Source organism: Homo sapiens, chromosome 10 (genome assembly GCF_000001405.40).
Source record: "Homo sapiens chromosome 10, GRCh38.p14 Primary Assembly".
NCBI lineage: Eukaryota > Metazoa > Chordata > Mammalia > Primates > Hominidae > Homo > Homo sapiens.
The window spans coordinates 82,954,454-82,970,802 of NC_000010.11; the positions used below are offsets into that span (position 1 = coordinate 82,954,454).

Below are 16,349 nucleotides of genomic sequence, written 5' to 3' on the forward strand. Positions count from 1 at the left end.
CATTAGGGTAGGCTCAGAGGACTGCACAGAAGCTAGAGCACCAAGCGGGACATTGTTATCTTTCTGTCTACCAGCCTGGGACACAGTTTTATTTAAAAAATGAATCAATTAATAACTAAAGGCAAAAATGATAAAATGATGATACAAATGGAAGTATTTTCCACCTGAAATTGGATTAGCTATATGTTCCTCATTAGAGGCCTAGGGTGCATTTCCTTCTTCTAGTACCATTTTCAGGCTTGGTCTCCCTTTTTTTTCTTTGCTTGAGAGAAATGCCACCACCTTACCAAGCACCTAATTTATATTGCTAAAAGCAATATAGATTGTCATAAAACCCTGGCACAAGTTGTGTGTGTGTGTGTGTGTGTGTGTGTGTGAATTCGTGGATTTCCTTTTCCAAAACCTTGGGGAGAACAGAATATCCAAACTCTACCTTGACCTTCCCTTACTTTCACTCATAAAGGAAAGTAGTTTATATGCATATACATTTTTTACTTTAGCTTAGAAGCCCCAAGTCTTCCAGGATTCTAAGGCCTCTCTATCACTGGTATTCAAATAAGTTCACTTGAACCTCCATTCGATACACTGGGATGTATAGTTTCTGCCCAGAGGGAGCTGAGACTTAGCTCAAAGCTCTCTTGATCATTTATGTTCTACTTCCCATAATCACTTAGACCTTGCCTTTATGATTCTTTTTCCATTCCCTCGTCACCTTTGGCATGGCATGACTTCATCAGAAGGAATATTACAGCAAATTCTGTGTCTGAGGAAAGATGGAAGGTAGGTAACATGATAAGGAATAAGTAAGAAACACCTTGAATTTAGAGGATTTTTTGATGGAGTTAACTGAACCCATAGCAACTCTAAAAAACAGTGAAAGAAATTCTCTTCACTCCCAATAAGCTCATATATTCCTATACATAGTTAATAGAACTATTAATTGAGCCTGTCAAGTCTGGCCAGTGTGGCTCACGCAATGACTGTAAATTATTCAAGTTTTTCTCTTTATTTTTAACTTATGTAGTTAAGAATGATGGGGATGAGTGTTAGAGTTCTTAGCAGAGCTTGGAAATACAAAATATGATTCAACTCTAAAACTAGAATTGAAGTAGGAGAGGATATGTTTCAGGAGGCAGAATCTGAAACAGGTAATTATCACAAATGGGAAAAAAGAGGAGGATAAAAACTGGTATTATCAGTAAAATGTAGACACGGTAACAACCTGCCCCTAACTATAGGTCATCAACCCCTTGAAGTAAGAGATTTTAGATCCCAAAAAAAGCCTCTTAATGGCAGACACTCTGATGCACTGCTGCGTCTTCTTCAGATATGGAGGATTTAGTCGCCAAGTTTGCCAGCAAACACCGGTGAAGAGTCACCTTTCTCAATCTCATGTTCCATTCTGGTATTGTTTACCTCCAATGATGCATCGATATGAGGCTCTGAAGACCTAGACCTTTTCCCCAACTTCAGGTGCAAGACCATGCCAGCTTCAGAGCTCCCTCTGAGGTTTGCTGAGGTTTTCACTGAGACTGTATCACATTCCAACTTCTCCCCAGCCCAATTCTGCTTCCATTTCTTCCCTTTGCTTCCACAGGTGTTGATACCAAGAGCTCTCCTTAACAAAAGTCCTCTATGCTGTCTTTATCCCAGGGTCTGCCTTCCCAGGAGCCCAATCTGCAACAAGACAAATAATGCCTAACAATGGATTAATGATGTCTACTATTCTGCAACTTACATCTCATTTCTTTCTAATGCATTGGACCAGAGAAATTTAAAACTCAAATGAACTGTAAAGTTTCCACACTGACACTGTTGGGCTAATAGTATTCCCATGTGCAAGGCATGCATCTTTTCTTCCCCAGAGCAATGCCTCTCATGAGAGAGCTAATGGTATTGCAATCAGCTGCTGATTGTTTTCTCTGTTCCCATTTTCTGGGTGAAGGAAGAAAGAGCAAAAAAGTGTGTGCTTGTGAGAGAGGAGGGATGGTAGATAGGCAGAGGCAGGCTCAGAATGGAAGGACCACGTATCTTGGAATATTACTAAGTCAGGACTTGAGTGAAAAAAGACTAAAGGTAAGCAAATTATAAAAGGATTTAGGAAACGCAGTCCGGTATTGGATATTGCTTAAAGAAAATTCCCTTATAAGTTTATACTTCCAAGACTCTGAATTGGATTACTGCAAACATCATTAAGTGTTTCTAATTTAATCCCATGAGAGTAATGGAATCCTTGCTCTGAGACATGCACTCTTACTTTTTCAGGATGATTTACCAGACTAGAACCTCCTGATTTCCCCTTTTTTGTGTGTGCGAATGAACCCCTGATAAAATCTTGTGGCTGTAACATGCTCCTTAAAATGCTGATATGATAGATTTATTTTTAACAATAGGCTATAGATTAGCTGTTAGGAAGCAAATAGATTATTACAACAGGATTAAAGCAACTAAGAGTGCTAGAGATAAAAGTCTCCCAAATAATTGGAAAGATAAAAGAAATATCTTAAAAAACAGAGCTACATCACACTGATATTGTAAATTCAAAATGGGTAATGAAGCTCAAAGCCTCCAAAGCTTGCAGCAAGTGCTGGTGAATTGCTTGGGAAGATGCAACTAGTGTAATCTTTTACCTTTGGGTCAATGTTCTGATTCTTTTGCAGCTTCTGCTCACAAGACTGAGCTTGCTTGATGGTATCGGGAAAGATATGAACATTTTGCGTGTGCCTCCACATGCAGCCACCACAGTGTCCGTGGAAGATAGCTTTTATGAACTTCATTTACAGAGGAGGAAATGGAGGCTCAACAAGTTTAGGAAATTATTAGGGTAGCAAAACTAGTGGGTAGCAGAGTGGGATTCAAATCCCAGTCCCTGTGATACAATAAGCCACGCTCTGTAGGGTGCTACTGACTGGAGAAGCTCATTGCTAAGACCGGCCATGTGCTCCACTGACGGCACTATCTTTGTCAGAGACGTTGGAAGACAGGCAAAATTCAAGGGCATGATTCTACTGGGAAAGTTGTCAGAATCAAAATGGAGTCATTTGTGTTAAAAACCCTGACAAATAGAGCCGGAGAAGGACATGAAGGGAGCAGTCACGTAGGCAAATGCCTGATTACAAGAACTATCACAAAAGTCTGTGAAAACCGCAGCTTTGCATGAAGACTATTGCAGCCTTACATGCACGAAAATAGTTCTGCAAGGACATATGCCCAGCAACTTCCTGTCCACCCTTGGACTGGCACCATCCTTTCTATTGATCCTTGTAGCCAAGGATAGTGATCTCAAATCAGTTGTGTACCTAACGTTTCCTGTCTTCCTAGTGATAAAACATAGTTTCCTATATCGTGTGTATTCCCATTGCAACACTTATTTCCAAATAAATATTTTCTTTTAGAGTCTCCATGTTTGTTATTTAGGTCAACACTGCAAAGAGGTGTGCGTGTGTGTGTGTGTGTGTGTGTGTGTGTGAGTGTTGTGTTTAATGGGTACCAAGTCTATGCTAATAGATGATTTCTGTGAAGCTTCTGGGACAGAGCTGCTGCTAAGGCAGTGGTTTGTCCCATCCTTCTGGTGTAGGCACTGAGTGACCCAGACAACAGTCATTCCGCATGTGCACACAGGAGCACTTTACTTGAAGTCCAGAACCCTACAGCAGTTTCAGCCTTTTCACTCAGAAGCGGTGGGACCATGAGCACATGGCTTGGCAATTCTGAGTGGTGGTTGAAGAGTGTAAACTATGGAGGCAGGTTGGCTGGGCTGAGATCCAATCGCTGCCACTCACTGACTATGTGACGTCAAACAAATGGCTTAGCTTCTCTGTGCTTTAGTTCTCATCTACTTAATGGGTATAGCATTATGGCCTCATCACAAAGAATTATCATGAAAAATCTGTGAAATGATACATATAAAGCACTTAAAACCATGTGTGGCACATTACTGTATAACTAGCTCTTTAAGAGTTAACTATTTTTAATATCTGGGCTCTTGGTAACAATAAATGAGCTATTTCTAAATTGTAAAAGACAGAGAATATACACATTATGGTATATAGTCAAGTTGTGCAATTAAGCTAAACATATTTGAATTGTACAAATATAAATGTAACTCTACAAATATGTCATATGTACCTGCTAAGCCCAAGTCTTAATTGTTTTCCTCTAGTCACTTTCCCATAGTATTTCCAGTTCTTTGCAGCTAAAACTCAGGGTTAGAGACTTCTTGCATCTATGGGGGCCAGGGCAATGCACTAAATGTTTGTCTGCTTTTGGGGTGCCACTGAATGTGAATTCCTAGAGAATATGGATGATATCAGGTTATCACTAAACTGGAAGTATTTCTGGTGGGGTTGGAAATGAGAGAAGGGTTCTCTTCGTTAGCTGAGTTTATTTAACTTTAGCAAATAACAAATATAGACACTGGGAATGAATGAGACCCTGAAAGTAGGAGTTGAATAAAGTCATGCAAATATTTGTACACGTTTATTTATGCCTGCAGGAAACAAGCTAAACAAATCCAAGAGCAGCTGAAAGTGCCACAAAATGGTAAAAGCTACAGTCTCAAAGCATCCAGCACAATGGCAAAGTCAGAGAACTTGGTGAAGAGCCATGTCCAGCTGCAAAATGTAAGTGACATGTCTACACACCTCCTCCTATAGCCTACCTCAGTGCTTCCAGCTCAGAGGTGTTGGGAGCCTGGGATCAGACTTGTAAATATTTTTCAGAGCTTTATAGGGTTTTGCTTAAATCGTTTTAACAGTTCTGGGCTGGGACGTATGCACACATGCATGTATGTATGCATCAGATAAAAGGCAAGTTAAATTTCAGCTCTTGATTACAATCTGTAATATAAACTAATCTCTAGTAAAAATAAGAGCTTCAGTTTTTTGTCCCATGAACACTTGTTGAATCCTTAGTTTGTGCCAGAAGTTGTATGTGACACCAAGGATACAATGTCCCTTGCCATAAGGGAAGTTCTATGTAGGAAGAAACACAAAAACCCCCAGAATCAGAAGAAGTGAGTTCCGAGATAGTTGTTGTTGCAGCAGAGGTTGGACAAGAGGAAGCCAGTGGGAGGTGGATGGGGGTAGACTTGGGGGCTGCCTCACAACAGAGTCGGACTCGGACTGGGTTTGGAAGGATATGAAAAGTTCTATAGAGAGTCAAAGGGCTAAGAGCTAGAAGCCAGAACATGCAGGAAGAATAAAGCCATGGAATCCTAAAAATGCATGTTATGTTCAGAGAACTCCAAGTTAAGGGGTGTGAGAAGAATCAAAGGTGAAAGGTGGAGTTTCATAATCAATCCTTCTAATTCCAAGCCTTACAGAGATATCAGAACTTGAAGTTAAATGCAAACTCTTTGCCTCTTACACTTTTTGTAAGGCAGTTTTAACCATTACTGAGGTATATTGCAAAACACTAAATTAAAGCAAGAGAATTCTGTGTAATACATGCAGATATATTCCTCTTAGGTTAGCAATTCTTTGACCCCACACAGCATCCGCACTTTCAGAATCTGAGGCATAAAACAAAAGAACAAAGGCCATTGCATAAACCTAGCATTTGAGTATAATAGGCAATCATCCAGGACACATTCACACCCCTCCAAATGCTTCAATCACTGGAAATTTATACATCACTGGTGATTCTAAGAAATCATTACCCAAAAAGTCGCTATTATGATGTCCATAACAGATGTACTCAGATGATTTAATGCAGAATTCATAAATCAGAGTCTCTTCCCAGGCAAGTTTTGTTAAACTTCTATTCATGGCAATGTGCAGGAATTGTTCATTTCAGAAACAGAGTGAATGGTTTTGCTATTGATTTCTAATGGGTATAATCCCACCACTCTAAAACAACCACAGTGATGGAGGGCTTCATTCCTTAGCAACTGGTTATGTCAAAGATAAACAAAGCCAGACACTAGTTAAAGTGATGAGGATAGATTCTAATCAGTAACATGTTAGTGGAATAGTTGAACTGAACTTCTATTTGTACGGAAATGGCTGGATTTTTTTTTTTTTTTTTTTGAGAAAGAAAGAAGTAAAATTATATTTGTTTGTAAATGACATGATCTTCTGTGTAGAAAATGTCAGGCTTCTGAGCCCAAGCTAAGCCATCATATCCCCTGTGACCTGCACGTGCACATCCAGATGGCCGGTTCCTGCCTTTTCTGATGACATTCCACCACAAATGAAGTGAAAATGGCCTGTTCCTGCCTTAACTGATGACATTCTACCACAAAAGAAGTGAAAATGGCCGGTCCTTGCCTTAACTGGTGACATTACCTTGTGAAATTCCTTCTCCTGGCTCATCCTGGCTCAAAAAGCTCCCCCACTGAGCACCTTGTGACCCCCACCCCTGCCCACCAGAGAACAACCTGCTTTGACTGTAATTTTCCTTTACCTACCCAAACTTTATAAAACGGCCCCACCCCTATCTCCCTTCACTAACTCTCTTTTTGGACTCAGACCGCCTGCACCCAGGTGAAATAAACAGCCTTGTTGCTCACACAAAGCCTGTTTGGTGGTCTCTTCACACAGACGCAAGTGAAAGAAAATCCCAAGAGTCAACCAAAATACTGCTGGAATTAATAAACACATTCAGTGGATTTGCAGAATACAATATCAGCACCAAAAGTTAGTTGAATTTCCATACATTAACAATAAACAATTTTAAAAGAAAATTAAGAAAACACTTCCATTTGCTAGAGAACTTAATGTAAGAAACGCTTAGGTATAAACGTAATAAGGTGAAAAGTTTGTACCTTGAAATCTACAAACATTGATCAAAATGATTAAAATCAATAGACATACAACCCATATTGATGGATTGGAAAAATTAATATTGTTAAATGATGATATAACCCAAAATGTGGTTTAAATTCAACACAATACCCATAAAAATCTCTATCAGTTTTTGTTAAAGAAACAAATTAATATAAATGCATTGTCTCATTTAGTTCTAACAATTAATTTATACCCACAATGTGCAGAAAATAGAAATGGGATTTGGAGCTTGAGAAAGGTATGTCTGTCAGACAGCTAGTAAGTAGCTGAAAGACAAACCAACATCCTTATAACTCAGTGGTTCTCAACAGAAGGCAATTTGCCCACCATCCCTTGACATTTGGCAAAGTCTGAAGACACTTTGGCTATTGCATGCTGGGAGAAGAATGCTACAGGCATCTAGTGGGTAGCGGTCATTGGCGCTGATGAACATCCTTCAATGCACAATAACCTCCCTCAACAGAAGATTATCCTTCCCAAAATGTCAAAAGTGGTAAAGAAGTTCACAGTCCATGCTCAAGTTTCAAATGGGACCATGGGGAAGTTCTGAACACCAAGTTCCATCACCAAGCTTCCCACCGCAGGCATTTATTTCCACTTTACAGAGGGTGACGGGTTATTCAGGCATATTTCATCCTTGGAAAGGAAAATTTCCTACTTGCTTACCATATCAGGCAAATCTGTCTTTGTTTTATCTTGAAGCTCATGTTAACTACTTGAAATTCTTTGCAAATTGCAGTGTTTAACAAATGAATTGTCTGGCTCTGGCATTCCTTTATTAAGTTCATTAAACATTCATGGAAATGGGTTTCACTTTATAGTCATCTAACAAGATGCAAAACACCTCGTCAAGTGAAGCAACATGATACTCTGGAAACACTTGACTCCAAGGCTGCAGAACTGGAGTAGATTACCCTCCCTGAGAAGCATCTAGTCCCTACCATTGTTTTAAAAACAAATAAAGCATCTGTGAGTAAAGATGAACTCACCTCCTTTGCTGTGTCTCAAGTAAGAAAGAGCTAAGGATAGAATTATAACCTCTAGAACCTTCAAGGCAAAGGAGTGAAACTTCTCAGCCTGGTTTAGGGATCAGAAAAGAAAGTCATCAAAAGAGATCATCCGTTCTTCTCTCTTAAAATCAAGAGAAAATATTCACAATTGAAAAATGAAAGAAGAAAATTGTATACCCTTCATACCTTTTTTTTCAGTAATCATTTTAAGAAAGGTAAGTTTATGGGGGAGGTAACATTAAATGAGAAAGAACTGGAAGATAATACTTGCATGCTAAAGAGGAATAATAAGAATTTAATGCCTAGGCCAGGCGCAGTGGCTCACGCCTGTAATCCCAGCACTTTGGGAGGCCAAAGCAGGTGGATCACCTGAGGTCGGGAGTTCAAGACCACCCTGGCCAACATGGTGAAACCCCATCTCTACTGAAAATACAGAAATTAGCCAGGCGTGGTGGTGGGTGCCTGTAATTCCAGCTACTCGGGAGGTTGAGGTGGGAGAATTGCTTGAACCCGGGAGGCAGAGGTTGCAGTGACCCGATACCATGCCACTGCACTCCAGCCTGGGCGACAGAGTGAGACTCAGCCTCAAAACAAACAAACAAAAAAAACAAAACCAAAAAAGAATTTAGTGCCTAACAGAGCCTTAAAAATTGGTGAAAAGGCACATATTTATCCAGTAATGTTTATTGAACTCTGGTAAAGCCCACACTTCTCTGTGTTGGGTACTGCAGGGATAGCTTAGAATACAAACAGAAGAAGTGGTTCCTGATCTCAGGATGTTCAAAGGTTAGTGGAGAGAAAAATGTACAAGCATATAATATCTTTATTATATAGATACATTAAATCAAAGTACTATCAGAGAATGGAAAACGACTTCTGAATTTGACTAGGGGAATCTCAAGCCTACCTAAAGGAGGTCACATGTGAATTGAGTTGTTGGCCTAAAGGAAAACAAACAAAGGAAACAAAAAACCTAGGCAAACTTAATATAAATAGAGCAATTATTTTGGCCAGTTTTGAGGACTGCAACCTGAGAGCATAGACTTAATGTACCCTAAATACATGCTCCCATCAGCAGCAGTTACAAGTGGGTTTTTATAGGAAATGAAGAGGCAGTTCCCAAATTGTTTATCAAGAATTTGCATTAGGCCGGGCGCGGTGGCTCACGCCTGTAATCCCAGCACTTTGGGAGGCCGAGGCGGGTGGATCACGAGGTCAGGAGATCGAGACAATCCTGGCTAACACGGTGAAACCCCGTCTCTACTAAAAGTTCAAAATATTAGCCTGGCGCGGTGGCTGACGCCTGTAGTCCCAGCTACTTGGGAGGCTGAGGCGGGAGAATTACGTGAACCCAGGAGGCAGAGCTTGCAGTGAGCCGAGATGGCTCCACTGCACTCCAGCCTGGGTGACAGAGCGAGACAACGTCTCAAAAAAAAATAAAAAAGAATTTGCGTTAAAATAGTATAAGCTATTGCTTGGCTTATCCATGGTTCTTTTTATTACAAATTCCAAAAACTTGAAAATAAGTGATGAGGCAGTTAGGAACAAAATGTCTTTAAACAATCACCCCTGGGTTTGGTGGGGGTGAGTGACTACAATCCCACACTCTGTCTCTCTGGGCCTGATAAATTTTGCATACCTCATATAGCTCACACTGCTCTGAGCTATTTTTGGTAGAGTTTTGAGAGTGAATTGAAAATCATGGAATTGTTTGCAGGGAGTAGGTCAGAAGAGGTAATTTTGTTGTAGCATTAATTAAAGTTAATTTTTAATAGTTCTAGCCTAAACGCTGATTTATTGCTTTAAATATCAAATTATAACTTATTGATTGAATATAGATTCATACATTCATTTATTTACTTAAATATAGACTAAAGAGCCTACTAAGTACCAGACAATACCTATTAAGGAACAGGCATGTGATGATGACAAAAAATGAGAAAGCTGCTTCTTTCAAGAAGTTTGCTGATTACTGCGAGTGATCAATATAAATCAAATAATCTCACAAATGTGGGCTCTCATCTGTGCCAAGGCCTACAGGAAATAGTGAACGGTGCTATCAGAGCTTATAGTAGGCAGGCTGGGGAGTTCATATCAGACCAAGAATAGCTCAGCTCTCTAAAAAGGTGCAGTTAACACATGAAGAATCCCCCTGGTGAAGTGGTAATTTGCTGGGGAGGAGGTGGCGTTTTGTGCTGTGCCTAGTGTCTGAAGAGGGTCTCTTTTCATATTATTTTGCTTTAAAGGAAATGTGTGAAAATTGCAATTCTTAAAGTTCTTGCTGCTTTGGTGTCCATGCAAAAATTCTCAACAGCGGTCGAGTTGTTTTTAATTACCTACATTAGAAATCCCAGTGAAATCACTCTTGAAAACATATTGTAACTATCAATTTCCCCATACTCGGGCTCATAAGTCAGAGTGGCAATAAAGAAAATTTTGTCACAGACATATTTGAACCAAGCAATGCAGAGAGAAAGACATTTAAAACTGCCTAAAAATATCCTCCTCCTGCTTTTATTGCCTAGGGTTCCAGACCAGGCGATTATCAGCACTGTCAACATTGCTGTCCAAAACTGACCCTACTTTCATTTAACCTTCTGACTCCTGCTGTGTGCATGTGGCAGACCTGGAAACAATGCTGTTATTCTACTGCCAACATGCGCCTGCTTCATTTGACTGGCCTATTGATTTCGGTGCACCACCTACAATGTGCTAGGAGCAAAGCAGGTGGGCGGGCAAGAGGAGATACCTTCATTACCTGGGAGCATTTGCATTAGCCGGCACTTTCAGGGGGGCCAGTTGGATGAATGCTTCTCCTAGGAAATAACAATATTAACCAGGGCCTATGAAGGAGTTAACAACAACAACAAAAAACACTTGAGCTAATGCTGAGAGCACCATTGAATGAACTGGGGCATCTCCTTATTCACTGCTAACAGGATCTTTTGTATATTATACCAAATGAGCTCTTAACCATGTGCACACAATAAAGTCAGGATCTGTGTCAAGGAAATAACATAGAATCAACTGCCAGGCTTTGTAACATTGTAGAGGATGCTAATAGGGAGATCCAGACAGGCAGCTAATCTGAGCACTTAAATTTCACTGAAGATACAATCTTAAGAATAAGTTTGTCCAGACCTTAGCTTGTCTCGGAGATAGAACTGCATGCATTTGGATGGAAACAAAATAAATATTTTTGGGCTGGGCACTGTGGTTCACACGTATGATCCCAGCACTTTGGAAGGCAAAGGCAGATGGACCACTTGAAGTCAAGAGTTTGAGACCAGCCTGCCCAACATGGTGAAACCTTGACCCTACTAAAAATCCAAAAATTAGCCGGGCGTGGTGGTGGGCGCCTGTAATCCCACCTACTCAGGAGGCTGACACATGAGAATTGCTTGAACCTAGGAGGCCGAGGTTGCAGTGAGCCGAGATCAAGACACTGCACTCCAGCCTGGGCAACAGAGTAAGACTCTGTCTCTCTCTCTTTATATATATATATATTAGCACAGAGCATAAAATGTCCAAAAGCTATGATCATGGTCAGTCAGGCTAACTTTCCAGGAGGGTTGGTATAGGTGAACTGTTTTGCTGAGTGGAGTATGCATCTTGAGGGCCTACACCTGAGCTACTCAAGCAATTAAGGGAAGACTGAATTCTGCCTTTAGTCTCTCAATTCTTTTTGTTTATTTCGATGTGTACTTTTTTAATCATTTATGTTATTTTCTATTTTCTTAAGCAGATCTGATATTTTAGGATAGCTTTCAATTTACAGAAAAGTTGAGAGGATACCACAGCAAGTTTCTATACTCTGTATTCAGTTTCCCCTATTATTAACCTTGTATATTAGTAGGGCACAATTCTGAAACTAACAAACTAATAAGAATGCATTATTATCCATAAAATCCCACATGTTGGCATTCTCACAATTGCTATTGTTTATTCTGATTTTTTGAGTGTTCACCTGATTGCTGCCTGTGTTCTAATCCCAGGTACCGCATTACATCTAATATTCATGTCTCCTTAGGTTCCCCTTACCTGTGACAGTTTGTTGATTTTTTCTTTTTATGATGACCATGACAGTTTTGATCAGTACTGGTAAAGAATTTTGGAGGATGCCCCTTTATTGGAATTTGATTCTTTTCTTATGATTACATGGGGTTTACTGGTTTTCTGTAGAAATTTTTAAAGTGCCATTTTTATTATGTCATATCAAGATACACGCTACAATATGATTTATTATTATTGAAGTTTACCTTATCATCTGTCTGAGGTAATATTTGCCAAGCTTCTCCACTGTAAAGTTACCCTTTTCTTCTCTCTCCTTTTGCATAGAATACTCTTTGGAAGGAAGTGATTATGCATAGCCCACTCTTAAGGAGTGGGGAGTTACGGTCTTCTTTCCTTATGGTTAAGTATCTACATAAGTTATTTGGGATTCTATCACAAAGGGGTTGTCTCTTCTCTCCCATTTACTTATTTATTCCATCATATATTTTTATCAGTATAAATAAACTCATGGATACTATTTTATACTTTGATTTGTAATCTAAGTAGTAAATACTATGTTACGTTCTCATCAGTTTTTTCTGGCTTTGGCCATTGATAGGTCTTTCAGCTGGCTTATGTCATTTTAACATTATGTATCAATTCACTGTAAGTTTTCAGGGTTTTTTTTTGTTGTTGAGCACTACAAGACACTCCTTGCTTATGTTGTACATTTTCTGCCTTGGTTCTAGAATCAGCCATTTCTCCATGGAAATAGCTAGTTTCTTTCTTTGCAGAATTTCATTGGAGACTGAGATTTGGAAGCTAGGTGTGTATGTTATTGTTGCTACAGGGATGTCTTTTCTTGGCCTTCTCAACAGACAGATCAAAGATTTTATATATATATATATGTATATTTTTAAATAATAGATATATTAAATATGTCTACTTAAGACATATTTAAATAATACATATATTAAAAGATATATTTATATATTGAAGGTTGCATATAGACTAACACATATCTAAATTTTTCTATGTAAGCATCTGTATCTGTATTCTGCTAAACATGTGTCTACATTGATGTCTACCCCCAAATCTAATCCATAACTACATCAATAATTCTACCCTCCTCCCGTTGCTTATTTATAAATTTCCACTCCAACAGTGAAAAACCTCCTTCCCACTGTCTATTATTCATTTACTTATTTTTTCAGTGACAGAATACACATAAAGCATTCTCACAATGGTTATACCATACCTTTGCACTGTTCAACTTTAATGGCTAGGCGGTGCATTTGGGCGGTAGTTTTGCCTTTAGTCTGCTGAACACTTGTGACCTTCAGAAGTGTTTCTTCACTTTTTTTCCTCTCTTACGTGAGACGGAAAGGCTACAGGGAGCAGGAATTGGGGAAGTGCCTTCTTTCTGGTGAGATAAGGCTCTGGTAAAATATTTTTACTACAGGAGTAGGCAATTGTTATTGAGAATGCTCTGTGTGCATTTCAAAATAGTTACTTTTCCCCTTCCACTGGCAGAGACATTAGATGATTTTTTTTGTTGCTGTTGGGGTTCTTTGCTGTGAGAACCTGGTGTGGTTCCTGGAGGTCAAACCCATGGAAGTATCGGCATTCTGCCTAAGACTACAGACCCCAACTCTCGTTCTAGTGCCCATACAGATTCCAGCAACTTGTCCAAATTACTTCTTAAACATTCCTACCAATTTATGGTTCCAGCAGATTCAGTTGCAGAAAAGCTGATCTTAGCCATTATTCTCTGTATTCACCTGTTTCTCCAGATTTAAGGTGGCAGTGTGCCCTTCAACCTCAATTATCCAATGAATACAAGAAGACATTTTCAGTTTGTTCATTTATTTTTCTTATTGCTAGGACAGGAATAGCGACTTCCAAACTCTTAGCTTGTCAAAACTGAAACCACAGAAGCTATCTGAATTCATGTTCAACAAAAATGTATGGAATATAATTTGGAAGTTGGTCAAATTATTAGACTCTTATCATGCTTCCACAAGTTTCAAGCAACCTCCGGATAGGAATACCAGCAATTTAAACTTGAATTTCAGGTACAAGTAGTCACTGAAACAAAATGCTGTGAGAGAAAGAAAAAAAGTTCTAAAATAATAAATTCTGGAAACACATTTATATTAATGGACCAAAATAATACAAATAAAAACAACTGTTTAATATCGCAATAATTCAAACATATGAAATAACAGATTTAGGAAATATCTATCATGAACACTATGAATAAACAGAACAGGTTAAGAGGTTAATTCTGTTTATGAGTGTTATCCGGAATTTTGGACAAGGCCCTCTATCTCTCAGATTCTAAGCAGAGACTATGAACTAATGGTACAAAAGATGAATTAGGCTTTTTGACAAGGAAGGAAGGGAGGAAGGGAGGCAGGGAGGGAGGGAGGCAGGGAGGGAGGAAGGGAATTACTGACTTTTAGTGATTTGGCAGTTTCTCTAAAAGATCTGCATGCTCCAGAAATAGTTGGCTGATATTGTCCCCTGGCAGCCCGTATTAGTCCATTTTCACACGCTGATAAAGACCTACCCAAGACTGGATGATTTATGAAGAAAAAGAGGTTTAATGGACTCACAGTTTCATATGGCTGGTGAGGCCTCATAATCATGGTGGAAGGTGGAAAGCACGTCTTACGTGGCAGCAGACACAAGAGAAGAGAGAGCCAAGTGAAAGGTTTTCCCTTATAAAACTATCAGATCTCATGAGACTTATTCACTACCATGAGAACAGTATGGAGGAAACTGCCGCCATGATTCAATTATCTCCCACCAGGTCCCTCCCACAACACGTGGGAGTTATGGGAGCTACAATTCAAGATGCAATTTGGGTGGGGACACAGCCAAACCATATCACAGCTCTCTGCAGTTGCTGAACATACTTGCTTTCTTCAGTTTGTCATGGATTTGCCCAGAGCATCTCACTTGTTTTTGTAGCTGGGCCTTCTAGGCACCTAGGTTTTTCTTGTAAACCAGTTTATTAGATAAAAAAAGATATGTCTTTTATATCCCTCATATGTCTTTTATAGACCTGAAAGTCAGACAGATATTCAGGATATCATCGCACTTTAATAAACATGTCCATTCATCTGACTTTTTCCATGGGTACTTTGCAATACACAATCAATAATGAAGCACACATAGAGGTATTTCCATTATGTATTGGATCTTTGTTATTTGAGGTTGTTGAAAACAATCACCTTTTCCAAATTATCTCTGTACCTTCTCTTTGTTCTCTGTCATTTTCCTCCATTTTGCAAAAAGACTGACCAGCCTTTATAGGTCCACTGTGAAAAATTCGGATTCTGGTTCAAGACATGGTCATTACTGCCACTATGTGGCTTGTTTTGGAAGTTATTGAAAATAAAACATTTAATTGGAGCTTTTGAACTTAAAGCTGCAAAACCTTGATATGTTCCCTAGTCTCCATAGCTTATACTCATGGATATACTTTTTCCCAAGCATAACACCTAATTAGATAGTTAATAATTTCTTTTAACTTAAAAATCTGCCTCCTAAGTAATTGCGTGAGAAACACACACATGCAAATGCACACAGAAAAATATATGTACATACAAAATCTGTATATATATAAACACCAGGCTAATTATGTGTATATAAACATAAATATATACACAATCTATTTATATCTATTAATTGCACCTTCCTTATTTACACAAATGGATTTATATGCATACGCTTTTGCGCCTTTTATTCTTTTCAATGGCTGTGTAGTATTCATTTATGGACATTTCTATTGTTTTGAGTTTTTTTCACTTTTGTGTTTATTTCCGTTTCGTTATGGACAATTGTGCTGCTGATGTACCCTGGAAATTATTATTTTGAACTTTTGCAATTATGGAAATTTGCATGATAGAAATTCTAAAAGTAATATTTTGGATCAAAGAGTATGTATATCTAAAATTTTGAAACATATTGTCAATTTGCTCTTCAAGTTAGCACCACGGCTACTTTTCCAGGGCCTTTTCCTTTATCAGATATTCTTGAAATTTAAATTTCTCTATTTATTTTAAAGGCAGAGTCTTGTTATGTTGCCCAGCCTGGAGTGCAATAGCTAATCACATAGCACACTACAGTCTCTAACTCCTGGGCTCAAATGACCCTCCCACCTCCACTTCCCAAGTAGCTGGGACTACAGCTGTGCACCACTGCACTTAGCTTAATTTCCTCTATTCTGATTACCACCTCTTTATAATGAGTGCAGTTGCACTCTTTGCCATATGTATGTTGCCTGTCTTTATTTTTCTGTGAAATTCTTGTTCACCTGTTGCCTTTCATTTTTTTCCAGTTGATTTCTGCCTTTATATCTTAAGAATAGTCTTTAACATAAGAATAGCCTATGTTTCCCCAGGCTTTTACTTATATTTTGATTTACTAATAATCATTTTTGTTACTTAAGACATTTAAATTAGTAGTAAATCAAATTTTACATATTTTTTTCTTTATGGTCTCTAGGTGTTTTGTCCTGGTAACAAATGTCTTTCTCCCATAAGGTTAG

At 38.8% G+C, this 16,349-nt stretch overlaps 1 protein-coding gene across 26 annotated transcripts in view, besides 3 other annotated features; it reads left to right on the forward strand.

Annotated features, from left to right (window-relative positions):
• NRG3 (neuregulin 3) overlaps positions 1-16,349 on the forward strand; it is a 1,111,986-nt gene that overhangs the window by 1,079,260 nt on the left and 16,377 nt on the right. For all 26 annotated transcript variants that reach the window (NR_163251.1, XR_001747009.3, NR_163252.1 and 23 more), the window contains one exon: positions 4,496-4,622. Coding sequence is in view for 22 of the 26 variants with exons in the window: in XM_017015573.3 (XP_016871062.1) it covers positions 4,496-4,622 (127 nt within the window). In the remaining 4 variants the exon portion in view is untranslated. The remainder of the gene's footprint in view (positions 1-4,495; positions 4,623-16,349) is intronic.
• Positions 1,189-2,388: an enhancer, noted in NCBI's record as "BRD4-independent group 4 enhancer chr10:84715398-84716597 (GRCh37/hg19 assembly coordinates)". NCBI's record gives its function as "activates an origin of replication core promoter dependent on BRD2, P300/CBP, MED14 and CDK7 cofactors, and independent of BRD4, by STARR-seq in HCT116 cells {active_cell/tissue: HCT116}" and the evidence as "EXISTENCE:reporter gene assay evidence [ECO:0000049][PMID:35650434]".
• Positions 5,997-6,518: an enhancer, noted in NCBI's record as "NANOG hESC enhancer chr10:84720206-84720727 (GRCh37/hg19 assembly coordinates)". NCBI's record gives its function as "activates a minimal SCP1, AML or CMV promoter by ChIP-STARR-seq in naive H9 embryonic stem cells {active_cell/tissue: H9 hESC(naive)}" and the evidence as "EXISTENCE:reporter gene assay evidence [ECO:0000049][PMID:30033119]".
• Positions 7,248-7,889: an enhancer, noted in NCBI's record as "OCT4-NANOG hESC enhancer chr10:84721457-84722098 (GRCh37/hg19 assembly coordinates)". NCBI's record gives its function as "activates a minimal SCP1, AML or CMV promoter by ChIP-STARR-seq in primed H9 embryonic stem cells {active_cell/tissue: H9 hESC(primed)}" and the evidence as "EXISTENCE:reporter gene assay evidence [ECO:0000049][PMID:30033119]".